This window comes from Homo sapiens, chromosome 17 (assembly GCF_000001405.40).
Source record: "Homo sapiens chromosome 17, GRCh38.p14 Primary Assembly".
NCBI lineage: Eukaryota > Metazoa > Chordata > Mammalia > Primates > Hominidae > Homo > Homo sapiens.
This window is the reverse complement of record NC_000017.11, coordinates 81,000,823-81,017,942: the sequence shown is the minus strand read 5'-3', so window position 1 is coordinate 81,017,942 and position 17,120 is coordinate 81,000,823. Positions and strand designations below refer to the sequence as shown.

The window sequence follows — 17,120 nt, the reverse complement described above, 5'->3', positions numbered from 1 at the left end:
GTGGGAGCCTTGATCTGCTGCACTCCATCCTACTTGGAAGTAGAAGTCTGTTTCCCCATGTTTAAAATGTTAATTTCAGGCCACGCACAGTGGCTCATGCCTATAATCCTAGCACTTTAGGAGGCCAAAGTGGGAGGGTCACTTGAGCCCAGGAGTTCCAGATCAGCCTAGGAAACACGGGGAGACCTCACCTTAAAGAAAAAAAAAAAAAAAAGGCATGCACTGAGCATGGTGGTGCATGCCTGTAGTCTCACTTACTCAGGAGGCCGGGGCAGGAGGATCACTTGAGCCCAGGAGTTTGAGGTTACCATGAGCTATGGTTGCATGACTGCACTCCGGCCTGGGCAACAGAGCAAGACCCTATCTCTAAAAAAATAAAAATAAAATAGGCTGGGTGCAGTGGTTCACATCCATAATCCTAGCACTTTGGCAGGCCAAGGCAGGAAGATCGCTTGAGCCCAGGAGTTCAAGACCAGCCTGGGCAGCATAGTGAGACCCTGTTTCTAAAAAAAGATATTAGCTGGCCATTGTGGCACATACCTGTACTTAGGAGGCTGAGGCCAAAGGATCACGTGTACCCAGGAGTTTGAGGCTGCAGTGAGCTGTGATCATGCCGCTGCACTCAGCCTGGGCAACAGAGGAAGACTCTGTCTCTAAAAATGTAAGTCAATAAAAATAAATAAAATGTTAATTTCAGTTTCCAATTGTTCCTTGCTAGCAAATAGAAATACACATTTCATTTTGTACACTGACCTAGTATTCTGTGATGTTCTAATTTGTTCTAGTAGACTCCTTTGAGATTTTCTATGTAGTCATGCTGTCCACAAATAGAGACAGTTGTGTATTTATTCCTTCCCAATATGTGTTCATTTTATTATTTTCTTGCTTATTACACTGAACGGGGCCTCCAGTATGATGCTGAATAGATGTGGTGACAGCAGACGCCCTTGCCTTGTTTCCTTCCTTATGGGGAAAGCATCCAATCTTTTATCATTAAGTGTGATGTTATCTGTAGGGTTTTTGTGATGCCTTCTGAAAAGTTAAGGAAGTTGTTTTTTATTCATAGTTTGCTAAGAGTTTTTATCACAAACGGATGTTGAATTTTGTCAAATTCTTTTCCTGCATCTATTGAGATATCATAAGATTCTTTTTTTTGTAGTCTGTTGATACGATGAATGATACTGATGTTTGAAGGTTGAACCAACCTTGCATTTCCAGGATAAACCTCATTTTGTTTGTCCCAGAATAAATAGATTACTTCAGGATAAAGACTCATTTTTATATATTGCTGGATTATTTGCTAATAATGAGTTGAGGATTTTGCATCTAGGTTCATATGGGATATTGGTCTGTTTGCTTTTCTTGTAATGGCCTTATGTGGTCTTAGGGTCAAGGTAATGTTGAACTCATAAAAGGAATTGCAAAGTGTTCTCTCCTCTTCTATTTTCTTTAAGAGTTTGTGTAGAATTGGTATTAAGTCTTCCTTAAATGTTTGGTAGCATTTAATAGACATATGACAATTTGGTTTACCTATTTAATCTTGAGTGAACTTTGGCAGTTTGAGTCTTTCAAGGAATTTTCCCATTAAATCTAAATTGTCAAATTTATGAGCATAAAACTGTTTGTAATATTTCATATTTACTTTTTTCTTTCTTTCTTTTTTTTTTTTTTTTTGAGATGGAGTCTCACTCTGTCACCCGGGCTGGAGTACAATGGCGTGATCGTGGCTCACTGCAATCTCCACGTCCTGTGTTCAAGTGATTCTTCTGCCTCAGCCTCCCAAGTAAGTGGGATTACAGGTGTCTGCCACCATGCCCGGCTATTTTTTTTGTATTTTTAGAAGAGATGGCATTTCACTATTTTGGCCAGGCTGGTCTCAAACTCCTGACCTTGTGATCCACCCGCCTCGACCTCCCAAAGTGCTAGGATCACAGGCGTGAGCCACCGTGCCCAGCTGTAATATTTCCTTAATATCTTTTTCATGTCTATAGGGTCTGGGGTGGTGTTCCCACTTTCATTGCTAATGTTGTAATTTGTATCTTCTCTTTTTTTCCTGATCACTCTAGCTTGAAGCTTTTCAAATTTATTGATATTTTCAAATAACCAGTTTTTGCTTTCACTGATTTTTCTCTGATGTTCTGTTTTCATTTCTGCTGATGTCCACTCACTATTGTTTCTTTTCTCCTGCTTGCTTTGGATCTGCTCTTCTTTTTTGAATTAATTAAGGTGAAAGTTTAGCTAACTGATTTCAGACTTTTCTTCTACCTTAACATAAGCATTTAATATTCTAAGTTTTCCTCTAAACACTGTTTTAGCAAGAATCCATAAATGTTAATATGTTTAGTTTTCATTTTCTTTCAGTTAGAAACAGCCTCTAAATTCCCTTGTGATTTTCTATTTAACTCACAGGTTAATTTAATATTTGTGGATTTTCCAGATAGCTCTTTGTTACTGGCTTTTGGATTGATATTATGGTCAGAGAACATGCTTTGTGTGAGTTCAATTCCTTTAAATTAGTTAAGGTTTATTTCATGGTCCAGAACATGATATGTCTTGGTAAATGTCCAATATGCACTTGAATAGAATGTGTATTCTGCTGTTGCTGGGTGGAATGTTCTATAAATGTCAGCTGAGTCAAACCAGTTAACAGTGTTCAGGTGTCCTATATCCTTCATGATTTTCTATTTATTCTCTCAATTACTGAAAGAGGGGCCAGGAACAGTAGACTATGCCTGTAATCGCAGCATTTTGGGAGGCCAAAGCAGGAGGTTCACTTGAACCCAGGAGTTCAAGACCAGCCTGGGTAACATGACAAGAGCCCGTCTCTACAAAAATAAAAAAATTAGTGGCCGGGTGCGGTGGCCCACGCCTGTAATCCCAGCACTTTGGGAGGCCGAGGCGGGCGGATCACGAGGTCAGGAGATCGAGACCATCCTGGCTAACACGGTGAAACCATGTCTCTACTAAAAATACCAAAAATTAGCCGGGTGAGGTGGCGGGCACCTGTAGTCCCAGCTACTCAGGAGGCTGAGGCAGGAGAATGGCGTGAACCCGGGAGGTGGAGCTTGCAGTGAGCCGAGATCACGCCACTGCACTCCAGCCTGGGCGACAGAGCGAGACTCTGTCTCAAAAAAAAAAAAAATTAGCTAGGTGTGGTGGCATGTACCTATAGTCCCAGCTGCTCGGGAGGCTGAGGCAGAAGGATCACTTGAGCCCAGGAGGTTGAAGCTTCAGTGAGCCATGTTTGTGCCACTGCACTCCAGCGTGGGTGACAGAGCAAGACCCTGACTAAAAACAACAACAAAATACTGAAAGAGGAGGGTGAAAGTCTCTAACTGTAAGAAATTGTTTTACCTTTCATTTCTGTTAGTTTTTGCTTCATGTGTTTTGAAATTCTATTGTTAGGTGAATACACAATTTGGATTGTTTTGCCTTCTTTTATTATTGAGTAATGTCTCTCATTATCCCTGTTGATATTTGTTTTGAATATACATTGCCTGATATTAACACAACTACTCCATCTTTCTTTTGATTAGGGTTTCTGTGATATATTTTCCCCATCCTTTTACTTGTTTGTTCTGAGATGCAGTCTGGCTCTGCTGCCCAGGCTAGAGTGCAGTGGTGTGATCTTGGCTCACTGCAACCTCCCCATCCTGGGTTCAAGTGATTCTCCTGCCTCAGCCTCCTGAGTAGCTGGGATTACAGGTGCACGCCACCATGCCCGACTAATTTTTGTATTTTTAGTAGAGATGGGGTTTCACCATGTTGACCAGGCTGGTCTTGAACTCCTGACCTCAAGTGATCTGCCTGCCTCAGCCTCCCAAAGTGCTGGGATTACAGGAATGAGCCATCACTCCCGGCCTGTTGATTGTCTTTTTGTATTAGGTCATTCTTGCACTGCTATAAAGAAATACCTGAGACGGGGTCATTTATAAAGAAAGGCTTATTGGTTCGTGGTTCAGCAGGCTGTACAGGAAGCACAGCGGCATCTGCTTCTGGAGAGGCCCCAGGAGGCTTCCAATCATGGTCAAAGGCAAAGCAGGAGGAGGGACATCACATGGCAAAGGCAGGAGCAAGTGGGGGGATGGGGGAGGTGCCACACACTTGTAAATGACCAGATCTCGTGTGAACTCAGAGAGACAGCTCACTTATCACCAAGGGATGGCCCAAGCTCCCATGACCCAAACACCTCCCACCAGGCCCCACCTCCAACACTGGAGATTACAATTCAACATGAGATTTGGGTGAGGACAAATATCCAAACTATATCATTCCACCCGGGACCCCTCCCAAATCTCACGTCCTTCCTACATTGCAAAATACTATCATGCCTTCCCAAGAATCCCCCAAAATCTTAACTGATTCCAGCGTTAACTCAAAAGTCCAAAGTCTCCCCCGAGACAAGGCATGTCCCTTCCACCAATGAGACTGTAAAACAAAATACAAGTAATTTACTTCCAAGACACAATAGGAATATAGGCACTGGGTAAGTACTGTCATTCCAAAAGGAAGAAATCAGCCAAATGAAAGGGACTACAGGTCCCATGGAAGTTCCAAACCCAGCAGGGCAGGTGTTAAATCTGAAAGCTCCAAAACAATCTCCTTTGACTCCATGCTCCACATCCAGGGCACACTGGTGCCAGGGGTGGGCTCCCAAGGCCTTGGGCAGCTCCGCCCTCGGGGCTTTGCAGGTTCCATCCCTAACGCTGCTCTCACAGGTTGTTGAGTGCTTGTGAAACCGCAGGGTGCAAGCTGCTGATGACTTTGCCGTTCTGAATTCTGGAGGGCAGTGGCCCCTTCTCGCAACTCCACTAGGCAGTGCCCCAGCGGGGACTCTGTGTGGGGGCTCCAACTCTCTCAATTAGTCAGATGGGATTTTGGGGATTTGTGGACATTGCTCCTTGGCACTGCCCTAGTAAAGGTTCTCTGTGGGGGCTCTGCCCCCCGCAGCAGGCATCTGCCTGGGAACTTGGGCTTTCTCATACATCCTCTGAAATCGAGACAGAGGCTGCCAAGCCTTCACTCTTGCATTCTGCGCACCCACAGGCTTAATGCCATGTGAAAGCTGTCAAGGCTTACAGCTTGCAACCTCCAAAGTGGCAGCCTGAGCTGTACCTGGGCCCCTGTGAGCTGAGGCTGGAGCTGGAGCTGCTGGGATGCCATATGGGGAGCACTGCCCTGAGGCTGTATAGGGAAGTGGGGCCCTGGGCCTGGCCCACAAAACCATTTCGTTCCCCTAGGCCTCAGGGCCTGTGATGGGAGGGGCTGTCATGAAGGTCATCATTCCATTGGCTTGGTCATCACCTCTCGGCTCATTTTCAAACACGCAAATATCTCTAAGAAGTGGTTCCTCCACACTCTGCTTGAATTCCTCTCCTGAAAAAGCTTTTCCTTTCTCTGCCACATGGCCAGGCTGCGCATTTTCCAAACTTTTTTTTTTTTTTTGCGTGGCGGACAAAGTCTCATTCTGTCGCCAGACTGGAGTGCAGTGGTGTGATCTTGGTTCACTGCAACCTCCGCCTCCCAGGTTCAAGTGATTTTCCTGCCTCAGCCTCCCGAGTAGCTGGGATTACAGGTGCCCTCCACCACACCCGGCTCATTTTTGTAGTTTTAGTAGATGTGGGATATGATGAGGTTTCTCTTCAAATAGCCTGATCAATCCTTTCTTCCTTAATTCATAGTACCTCCCCCACCCCTTTTTCCTTTTTCTCTTTTCTGCCTTTGTTAGATGCCTGGACACGCCACAGGACCAGGCTTATCAGTACCAGCTCACATTCCTTTCCTTATTTGGAAAGGAGACTAGTCTCTAGCTCATTGCAAACGCTCCTTCCCCTTCTTCTTTCCCTCTCTCCCTTACATGCCCACCATATCTAAAGAAAGTTCAAATGTCTACCCAACTGGGATTAGTTCAGTTTGTGCAACCCAACCCTGGCCAATGGGGAAAGGGTACAGGGACAGGACTTGCATCAGAAATAAAGGCCCTCATGCCCCTTTGTTCAGGTGTGCTCTCATGGCAACTGGCCAAGGAGAAGCACCTGTCTACGCAGAAGTAAAATTGCTTTGCTAAGAATCCTTTGTTTGAGGCTGGGCGCGGTGGCTCACGCCTGTAATCCCAGCACTTTGGGAGGCTGAGGTGGGCGGATCATGAGGTCAGGAGATCAAGACCATCCTGGCTAACACGGTGAAACCCTGTCTCTACTGAAAATACAAAAAATTAGCCAGGCATGGTGGCGGGTGTCTGTAGTCCCATCTACTTGGGAGGCTGAGGTATGAACCCAGGAGGTGGAGCTTGTAGTGAGCCGAGATAGTGCCACTGCACTCCAGCCTGGGTGACAGAGCAAGACTCCATCTCGAAAACAAAAACAAAACAGAACAACAAAAAAGAATCCTTTGTTTGAGTGTTCGATCACCTTAGGATTTTGAGCGTTATTCCCAACAGTAGAGATGAGGTTTTGCCATGTTGGCCAGGCTGGTCTTGAACTCCTGGCGTCACGGTATCTATCTGCTTTGGCCTCCCAAAGTGCTGGGATTACAAGTGTGAGCCACCACACCCAGCCAATTTTCCAAACTTTTACACTCTGCTTCTCTTTTAAATATAAGTTCCAACTTTAAGTCATTCCTTTGCTCCCTCATCTAAGTACAGTTTGTTAGAAGCAGCCATGCCACTTTTTGAACATTTTGCTGCTTAGGGATTTCTTCCACCAGATACCCTAACTCATGACTCTCAAGTTTAAATGTCCATGGATCCCGAGGCATGAACAGAATACAGCCATGCTCTCTGCCAAAACCTTAGCAAAGAACACATGACCTTTGTTCCAGTTTCCAATCAGTTCCTCATTTCCAGCTGATACCTCGTCAACCTGGCCTCTACTGTCCACAACACTATGAACATTTTGGTCACAATCATTTAACCAGTTTCTAAGAAGCTCCAAATTCTTCCTCATCAAATTCTTCTTCCTCATCATCCTGTCTCCTTCTGAGCCCTCCACACTCTTCCAACCTCTGCCCATTACCCAGGTCCAAAGCTGCTTCCACATTTTCAGGTATCTATAGCAATGCTTTACTCCTTGGTACCAATTTTCTGTATTAGGCCATTCGTGCAATTGCTATAAATAGCTAAGCAACCAGGCACGGTGGCTCACGCCTGTAATCCCAGCACTTTGGGAGGCTGAGGCAGGCGGATCACGAGGTCAGGAGATTGAGACCATCTTGGCTAATACAATGAAACCCTGTCTCTACTAAAAATACAAAAAATTCGCTGGGCGTGGTGGCAGGTGCCTGTAATCCCAGCTAGTTGGGAGGCTGAGGCAGGAGAATGGCGTGAACCCAGGAGGTGGAACTTGCAGTGAGCCGAGATCAGGCCACTGCACTCCAGCCCGGGCAACAGAGCGAGACTGTTTCAAAAAAAAAAAAAAAAAAGAGAAATATCTAAGACTGGATAATTTATAAGAAAAATAAGTTTAACTGGCTCATGGTTCTACAGCTGTACAGGAAGCATCGCAGCATCTGCTTCTGAGGAGGCCTCAGGAAGCTTCCAATCATGGTGGAAGGCAGAGGAGGAGCAGGGAAGAGGTGCCACACACTTTGAAATGACCAGATCTCATGTAAACTCAGAGCAAGAATTCACTTATCACCAAGGGGGTGGCCCAAGCCATTCATGAGAGACCCGTTCCCATGATCCAGTCACCTCCTACCAGGCCCCACCTCCAGCACTGGGGATTACAATTCAACATGGGATTTGGGCAGGAAAAATATCCAAACTGTATCACTTTTCCTTTGGAAACTGGTCACATTCTCATGATTTTTTATATGTCACATAATTTGGGATTATGAATTGGGCTTTTTAAAAAAATTTTGAGACCAGGTCTGGCTCTGTCACCCAGGCTGGAGTGCAGTGGTGCAATCTCAGCTCACTACAACCTCTGCATACCAGGCTCAAGCAATCCTTCCACCTCAGCCTCCCAAGTAGCGGGAATACAGGCACATGCCACCACGCCCAGCTTATTTTTGTATTTTTTGGTAGAAACTGATTTTTGTCAGGTTACCCAGGCTGGTCTCGAACTCCTGGGCTCAAGCGATTTGCCCGCCTCCGCCTCTCAAAGTGCTGGGATCACAGCTGTGGGCACCACGCCCGGCCATGAACTGGACATTTTGACGGTTATGCTGGGTGGACTCCGCAACAATCCGCTGGAGAATGTTGATTTTTTTTTTTTTTAAATGCCCATCAACCTGGTTAGTTCCAACCACAAAGTTCTGCTGCCTCTGCTCCAGTCGAGGTTCCACTTTCAAAGCCAATTCCTGTTGCTTCTCTGAGTGCACCCCACACAGGTGCAGCTCGGGTGGGGGAGCCGGGGCTGCTGCTGGTTCCTCCTCAGAGTCCCAAGGCCTCTTTCTCCCACTCGCTCCCTTCTGGGATTCCCCCACCACACGCTTTCTGGACCTCAGTGGCCCCTGTTCACAATTTCTCTTGCCAAAAGGACAAGGTTTCTATGGGAGTTTTAGCTTTCCGTGTTTCTGTGCAGTTCCGTAACTGAGGCCCATCCTGGGGCAAAGCTACGAGAGAAAAGGGAAGATAAAACCAGGAAACGGCTTCCCCACAGGGGCCACCTCCACAGCTTTGGTTTACTGGTTTACTTTGCAGAGTCCTCAGTGGCAGGGCGGTGGTGGCGGGGGCGGGGGGTGCTTTGTTTTTCCTGGATTTGAGTTGTTAGTTGTAACAGTGAAAGAGATGGGCTGGCTGGCCGGGAGTGGTGGCTCATGCCTGTACTCCCAGCACTTTGCGAGGCCGAGACGGGCGGATCATCCGAGGTCAGGAGTTTGAGAGCAGCCTGGCCAACATGGTGAAATCCCGTCTCTACTAAAAATACAAAAATTAGCCAGGTGTGGTGGCACACGCCTGTAATCCCAGCTATCCGGGAGGCTGAGGCAGGAGAATCGCTTGAATCCAGGAGGCAGAGGTTGCAGTGAGCCGAGATCAAGCCACTGCACTCCAGCCTGGGCAACAGAGCGAGACTCCGTCTCAAAAAAATAAAAATAAAATAAAGAAAGAAAGAGATGGGCTGTGGAGGGCTGATGCTACCATCAAGGTATGGACCCTTTGTAGGTAACTTTAAAATGGAGGAAAGATAATCTGGAGATGCTGCAGTTAATCCAAAACAATGGATTTTAAATATTCCTATTTTGCTTGAGGGTCCAGCTTTATCCATTATGTGTTAAAGTTCCCTTCCTGGACCAGGCGCAGTCGCTCACACCTGTAATCCCAGCACTTTGGGAGGCCAAGGTGGGCAGATTGCTTGAGCCTAGGAGTTTGAGACCAGCCTGGGCAACAGAGCAAGACCCCCGCCTCTGCTAAAAACACAAAAGTTAGCTGCGTGTGGTGGCGCATGCCTGTAATCCCAGCTACTTGGGAGGCTGAGGCAGGAGAATCGCTTGAACCCAGGAGGCGGAGGTTACAGTGAGCTGAGATTGGGCCATTGCACTCCAGCCTGGGTGACAGAGTGAGGCTCCGTCTCAAAAAAAAGAGGGCAGACCAAGCAACAGAGACACATACCAAAGACACACCCACGATGGCTTCATCCATGGGAGACGATTGAAAGGCTGGCGTCGCAGCCACGTGAGACATTCCAAGGCAGGTCAGATGAACAGCCCTAGAGCCTGTCTGGAGGAGAGCAGGCGTCTCCTGCGGGACATCATCCTCGAGATAAGGAAGGGTCCTGTTCCTCTTGTATAAATGGAGGTTTTTCTCATGAGTGTCCTTAAATCTACCACTAAACTCAGGTTAAATGCTCTTAGTCTGGAATTAATGTACAGAAACTGGGATGGATATGTTTTCATATTATTTATGAAAAAAATGTTTCTCAAGTAAATGGAACAAGCAGGAATACAGGTGGGAATGCCACAGTACTAGACTACACTGTGCTTCAGAACAGTTTTTCTTTTTTTGAGACAGGGTCTTGCTCTGTCTCCCAGGCTGGAGTGCAGTGGCACGATCATGGCTTACTGCAGCCTCCGTTTTCTGGGCTGAAATGATCCTCCCACCTCAACCTCCCAAGTAGCTAGGACTATAGGCATGCACCACCATGCCTCCCGGGTTCACGCCATTCTTCTGCCTCAGCCTCCCGAGTAGCTGGGACTACAGGTGCCCGCCACCACGCCCGGCTAATTTTTGTATTTTTAGTAGAGACGGGGTTTCACCTTGTTAGCCAGGATGGTCTCGATCTCCTGACCTCGTGATCCTCCCGCCTCGGCCTCCCAAAGTGCTGGGATTACAGGTGTTAGCCACCGCGCCCAGCCTAAGATACCCACTTCTAATCAACATTGTACTGAAGCTTTAACCAGGCACTTAGAGAAGGAAATGAAATTAAAGGCATCCAGGTTGGAAATTAAGAGGTAAACTATCTCTCTTTACAAGTGACCTCATCTTGTATATAAAAAGTCCTAAGGATTTCACTTAAAAAAACCCTAATAAACAAGTTCAGCAACATTGCAGGAGACAAGCTCAATATACAAAATCAGCTGTATTTCTGTATATTTAAGTGAATAATCTGAAATTGAAATTAAGAAGATTTCATTTACAATAGCACCAAAAATAAAACAGTAATAGGCTGAACAAAACAAGTATAAAATTTATACTCTGAAAACTACAAAACTTGGTTGAAAGAAAGTAAAGAAGACCAAAATAAATGGAAAGGCACCCTCAATCCACGGATCTGGACTTAATGTAGCGGAGACGGCGGCACTCTCCAAACACATCCACAGATTCTACGCAACTCCTATCAACATCTCACTTGGCTCCTCCGCAGAAACTGAAAAGCTTATCCTAAAAATTCACATGGAAATTTGAGGGTCCCAGAATAGCCAAAACAATCTTGAAAAAGAAGAACAAAGTTGGAGAACTCACACTTCCCAATTTCAAAGCTTACTACAAGGCTGCCATGAGGACGTAAGAATAGACACACAGAGCAATGGGACAGAACTGAGGGCTGGAAAGAAGCTCCTGGCTACAGGCAGCGGGTTTCCACACGGTGCCAAAACAATTACACGGAGAAAGGACTGTCTTTTTAACAAATGACGCTGGGACAGAAAAATACCCACATATAAAAGGAAGAAGTCAAGCCGGGCGCGGTGGCTCACGGCTGCAATCCCAGCACTTTGGGAGGCTGAGCCAGGCAGATCACCTGAGGTCAGGAGTTCAAGACCAGCCTCGCCAACAGAGTGAGACCCTGTCTCAAAAACATATTTATATAAATATAAATAAACTATAAAACTGTTAAGAAATCATAGACACAAATCTTCATGATCTTGGATTAAGCAGGGGTTCCTTAGCTATGACACCAAAAGCACAAGGAACAACAACAAAAATAAATTAGATTTCATCAAAATTAAAAACTTTTGTGCTTCAAGGGACACCATCAAAAAGGTTAACAAGACATCCCAAAGAATGGGTGAAAATATTTGCAAATCATGTGTCTAATAAGGGTCTAGTATCCCGAATAAAGTATTACAACTCAATAAAAAGACAACGAACCCAATTAAAAATAGGCAAATTATCTGAATAGACATTTCTCTAAGATATACAAATGGTCAGTAACACCCACGAAAAAATGCTCAACACCATTAGACACCAGAGAAATGCAGGTCAAAGCCACAATGACGTACCACCTCATGCCTGCTAGAGTGGCTGTAATCAAAAAGAATATAAGAGTTGGTGAGGCTGTAGAGAGACCAGAACCATCGGCCACTGTGCAAAAGAGTGTGGTCGTTCATCCTATGGGTGAACATCCAGTTACCACACAACCCAGCAATTCCACTCCCAGGTGCAGACCCAAGAGCAGACGCTGTCCACACAGAAACCTGTATAGGAATGTGTTTGTTTTTAAAATTTGTTTATTTTTGTTTTATTTCTTTATATGAGACGGAGTCTTGCTCTGTTGCCAGGCTGGAGTGCAGTGGCGCAATCTCGGCTCACTGCAACCTCTGCCTCATGGGTTCAAGCGATTCTCCTGCCTCAGCCTCCAGAGTAGCTGGGACTACAGGTGTACACCACCACGCCTGGCTGATTTTTGTTTTTTTTTGAGTCTTTTTTTTTTTTTTTTTTTGAGACAGAGTCTTGCTCTGTCACCCAGGCTGCAAGTGCAATGGCATGATCTCGGCTCACTGCAACCTCTGCCTCCCAGGTTCAAGCGATTCTCCTGCCTCAGCCTCCCGAGTAGCTGGGACTACAGGCATGCGCCACCACGCCTGGCTAATTTTGTATTTTTAGTAGAAACGGGGTTTCTCCATGCTGGTCAGGCTGGTCTCAAACTCCTGATCTCAGGTAATCCACCCGCCTCGGCCTCCCAAAGTGCTAGGATTACAGACGTGAGCCACCTCAGCCGACCTTGTTATTTATTGTTTTTTGTTTGTTTTTTTTTTTTTTTTGGAGACAGAGTCTCGCACTGTCACCAGGGCTGCAGTCTGGAGTGCAGTGGCACGATCTCGGCTCACTGCAACCTCTGCCTCCGCCTCCCGGATTCAAGCCATTCTCTTGGCTCAGCCTCCCTAGTAGCTGGGATTACAGGCGCCCGCCACCATGCCCAGCTAATTTTTGTATTTTTAGTAGAGACGGGGTTTCACCATGTTGGCCAGGCTGGCCTCGAAATCCTGACCTCGTGATTCGCCTGCCTCGGCCTCCCAAAGTGTTGGGATTACGGGCGTGAGCCACCGCGCCCAGCCCCGTTTTTTTTTTTAAAAGACAGAGTCTTGCTCTGTCGCCCAGGATGGAGTCCAGTGGCATGATCAACTCTGCAGCCTCAAACTCCTGAGCTCGAGTGATCCTCCTGCCTCAGCCTCCTGAGCAGCTGGGATTATAGGCGCCCGCAACCACGCCAGGCTCACACACACACACACACACACACACACACACACACACACAATCAACAAACAACAAAAACAAAACAACCCCCTGGTCCATACAATAGCACAGCTGAGCCTGGAAAGGCTGTTAGGTGAACGTCAGAACAGACCCCAAGGTATAGATTCCACCTACAGGGCAGGACAGGGGACTTTACAGGCAGTGCGTGGCTGCTGAGGGCGGGACGAGGACCGGATGGGGACCAGGAGGGTGACAGCTGAAGGGTACAGGGTTTCTTTTGAAGAGATGAAAATGTTCTGAAATTGGCTGTGGTGACGGCGGCGGGTTTGTCAATACACGCAGGACCCCTGAGGTGTACTTTTAAAATGGGTGAGTTGTATGGCAGGCGAGTAATATCTCAACAGAACTGTTGCCACAGAAGAAAAACCAAAACCCAAGCCCACGCTTCAACCGCGGGGCCGCTGCGGGAAAGGACAGCTCAGCGCGCTCCCCGCGCCCCATCCTGGGGCGGCTGCCACAGCTCCTGCCTCCCGTGAGCTTCCCTTGCGGGATCATCGTTGCCGCGCACCGGGTGCTCACTCCTGGGTCCGCCCGGGGTTCGCCCGGGGGCCCATTGCAGGCAGCCAGGGGCTGACCCGGGTCGCTCCGGAGCGCTGGGGCCAGGGGTGCGGATTCCCGGGGAGCGCGCCGGGTGGTCCCTGGTGATCCCGGGAAAGGCAGCCTCGCGCCCCGCGCAGCCGGGTCCAGCCGCAGCCAGGAAGGGCGGGGGGGCGGGGGTCGAGGGGCGGAGGGGGCAGCGGTCCCGGCCCCCGGAGCCGGTGGGGTTGCCATGACGACGCCCGTGCGCCGCCGCCTGCTTCCCGCGCCGCCGCCCCGGGAAGGGCTGGGCTGGGCTGGGCTGGGCTGGGCAGGGTTGGGCGGGGTCCGCGGGGCGCCCTTCCTTCCAGAAGCGTCTTTACCCGAGGTTGGGGGGGTGCGAGCCCCACTCCCGGGTGGGGAGCGGAGGCCAGGCGGGGATGTCTCGGGTCCCACGGTCCCTCCCGCAGGGCCTGGGGCAGCGCCGCTGAAACAACGAGAACGCCCACCCCCACCAACCCCGCCAGAGCCCCCGCAGAGCGCCTGGGGCCTCGGGAGGCGGCTGAGAAAGGCGCAGCTCAGGGTCACCGGAGAGAGGAAACTCCGCTCTCACAGCCCCGTGGCCATGTCCCTAGCAGCTCCGCTCGCAGCCAGCGAAAAGCAGCCAGATGTGCATCGACGAACAGCAAGGGCGGCACCGGGAGTATTACCCAGCAGGAAAAAGGGACAAGCGTTTGGCACGTGACAACTTCACAAGGACAAAGACTTTGTGCGGGGAGAAAGGCGCCAGAAAGGTGACCCATGGTCGGCTTCTGTTTTTGTGACATTCCCGGAAAAACACTATGGGTTGGAGGACAGATCAGTGGTCACCAGGGGCTGGTGGGGTTCGGGGGGAGGGGCAACCCTAAAGGGCTGGCGGGAGGGAGTTTCAGGGGTGATGGAAGGTTATGGTGTTGGTTACACGAGTCCACATGTGCTGAAATTACAGCAGTGTACGACGTAAAATCGAACTTCTGTTTTCCTGTGTGATCTTTTTTTTTTCAGATGGAGTCTTGTATTGTTGCCCAGGTTGGAGTGCAGTGGCGCGATCTCGGCTCACTGCAACCTCCGCTTCCTGGGTTCAAGCGATTCTCCTGCCTCAGCTTCCCGAGTAGCTGGGATTACAGACATGCGCCACCACGCCCGGCTAATTTTGTACTTTTAGTAGAGACGGGGTTTCTCCATGTTGGTCAGGCTGGTCTCAAACTCCTGACCTCAGGTGATTTGCCCGCCTCGGCCTCCCAAAGTACTGGGATTCCCAAAGTGCTGGGATTACAGGCGTGAACCACTGCACCCAGCCGTCCTGTATGATCATTTAAAAAAATCTATTAGCCTGGGCAACATAGTGAGACCCCATCTCTACAAAAAGTAACAAAAATTAGCTGGATTTGGTGGCACACACCTGTAGTCCCAGCTACTCAGGAGGCTGAGGTGGGAGGATCGCTTGAGCCCGAGTTCCAGGCTGCAGTGAGCCATAATCACACCACTGCACTCCAGCCTGGGCAAGTGAGACCCTGTCTTAAAAAAACAAACGAAAACCCAAACTATCAGTGCTGCTCCCAACATCTGTCTGCTGGCGGCCTGGAGTGGCTGCTGGATGCTGTCGAGTTGGATGGACCCTGTCTCTGCAGCTCAGCAAGTACTGGAGCTGCACTGTTCTCTCCAGGATGATGTAAAACAGGTCATGGTTTCACTTGGGGTTTAATTACCATGGTCATTCTGTTCAGTGTGGTTATTGCTCCTTCCACACTTTCTGCCATGGTTTGAATGTTTGTCCCCTCCAAAACCTGTTGAAATTTCATTGCCTTTTAACAGTATCGAGTGGGACCTTCAGAGGGTGGTTAGGCCATGAAGGCTGCGCCCTAACGGCTGGGATTGGTTATAAAAGGGTGGGGTGGCTCCCCTCCTGCCTTCCACCATGTGATGACGCAGCTGGACGGCCCTCGCCAGATGCTGGCACCTGTCCAGTACCGTGAGCCAGTTGATTGTTCATTATAAATTACCCAGTCTCAAGCACTCTGTGACAGCAGCACAAAACGGACAGAGTTCCTAAAGTTGAGTCCCTCAGAGACCATCAAGAGTCAATAGGTGCAGACAGTTTACAGGCTGGGGACAGAAGTGGACTCAGCTGGAAGAGACCCCCAAGGCCAAACCCCCAATATTGCATGTATGAAGAAACCAGGACCCAAAGGATTCTGCGGCCAAGTCAGACACCAGTTGGGACCTGAGTTTGGAGCAAACCATCCTCCCTCCCCCGAGTACCTGCTCTGCGCAGGAGCTGGCAGAGCGCAGGCACACAGGGGTCAGGGGCCCCATCCCGTCCAGGATGGACCCGCCATTCTGTCCCACGCATTTCTTTTTTGAAAGAGTCTCGCTCTGTTGCCAGGCTGGAGTGCAGTGGCATGATCTCTGCTCACTGTAACCTCCGCCTCCCAGGTTCAAGCGATTCTCCTGCCTCAGCCTCCCGAGTAGCTGGGACTACAGGTGCGTTCCACCATGCCCAGCTAATTTTTGTATTTTTAGTAGAGACGGGGTTTCGTCAAGTTGGCCAGGATGGTCTCAATCTCTTGACATCATGATCCGCCCGCCTCGGCCTCCCAAAGTGCTGGGATTACAGGCGTGAGCCACCGCGCCCATTCCATCCCACACATTTCTGACTGCCACACTGCCTGCCCCGTGGCAAGTGTGCCTTCCAGCGAAGTGTCTGCAGCCTCTGAAAATGAGGGCACCACTTCCACACTATGCCCCATTCCCTCCCTGGGAAGTCCTCTGTGGCTGGCAGGCTCCAACACCCTTCAAAGCTGCTGATTATGTATGGCTCTTCCTTTATGCCCCTCCTCCACTCTGAGCCACCCTTTGTGTGGCCCCCTACTCTGTGTCCCTGCCCTCTGCAGCCTCTCCTCCTCCAAGTCCTCCCGCCGGCCCCCAGGCATCTCTGGCAGGACACCAGCTCCGCCCTGAGGTTCCACACCTAATTTTGACTTGTGATTGTCATGCTCCTGTGTCCCCAACCTAGATTAGGAGATCAGGTTGGTCAGGCTCCGGCCAGCACTGGGCTCTGTACCTTGCTGGCAGGAGGGGCTGCCACCAGCCCGACATAACCAGGAGCCGGCCAGCCAGGACACACCAATGCCAGAGTTGGGAATCAGCTCAAGGTCACTCTGGGTTGTCCGGGCAGACTCTTGCGAGGTCCAGGGAGGAACACTGGTACACAGAACACGGCTGAGTAGTAGTCAGGCTCTAACTTCTTGGATAGTCAGAGGGAACGTGGACCCCACCCCACTCCTGGCTGTGCTGTAGCAGGGATGGATGGTTATTGGCGTTCCCTGGATGGCCTCCTGGGCCCTGACCAGGAACTTGGCACAAGGGGGAGGGCACTGTGGACAGCTGCTCCGGTTGGGGCTGAGAGCAAAGTCCTGCCACAAAATGCCGCCAGAACACCCGGCCTCTCTTGGCAAAAGCCCCTGGGTTCTAATGGAGGCAGAGGGAAAGGAGGGACCTGCCCCACAGGCAGGGTGTGTAAAGGCTGTGACTGAGGCCTGGGACTGACAGTAGCCAGGGCCCCTCCAGCCACACCTGCAGCTTCCCAACGCAGGCTCCTGGCACCCTGCGTGCAGTTTGGGACCCAGAGCCGGTGCTCCACAGGCCTGGG

At 49.3% G+C, this 17,120-nt stretch overlaps 1 protein-coding gene across 1 annotated transcript; it reads right to left on the bottom strand.

Moving 5' to 3' along the window:
• Positions 1–3,925: 3,925 nt before the first annotated feature.
• LOC124904077 (translation initiation factor IF-2-like) lies at positions 3,926–15,827 on the bottom strand. Its single transcript, XM_047437254.1, has one exon. The coding sequence runs from the start codon at positions 13,682–13,684 to the stop codon at positions 13,214–13,216; it is 471 nt and encodes a 156-aa protein (XP_047293210.1). The 5' UTR covers positions 13,685–15,827; the 3' UTR covers positions 3,926–13,213.
• Between the last annotated feature and the right edge of the window lie 1,293 nt (positions 15,828–17,120).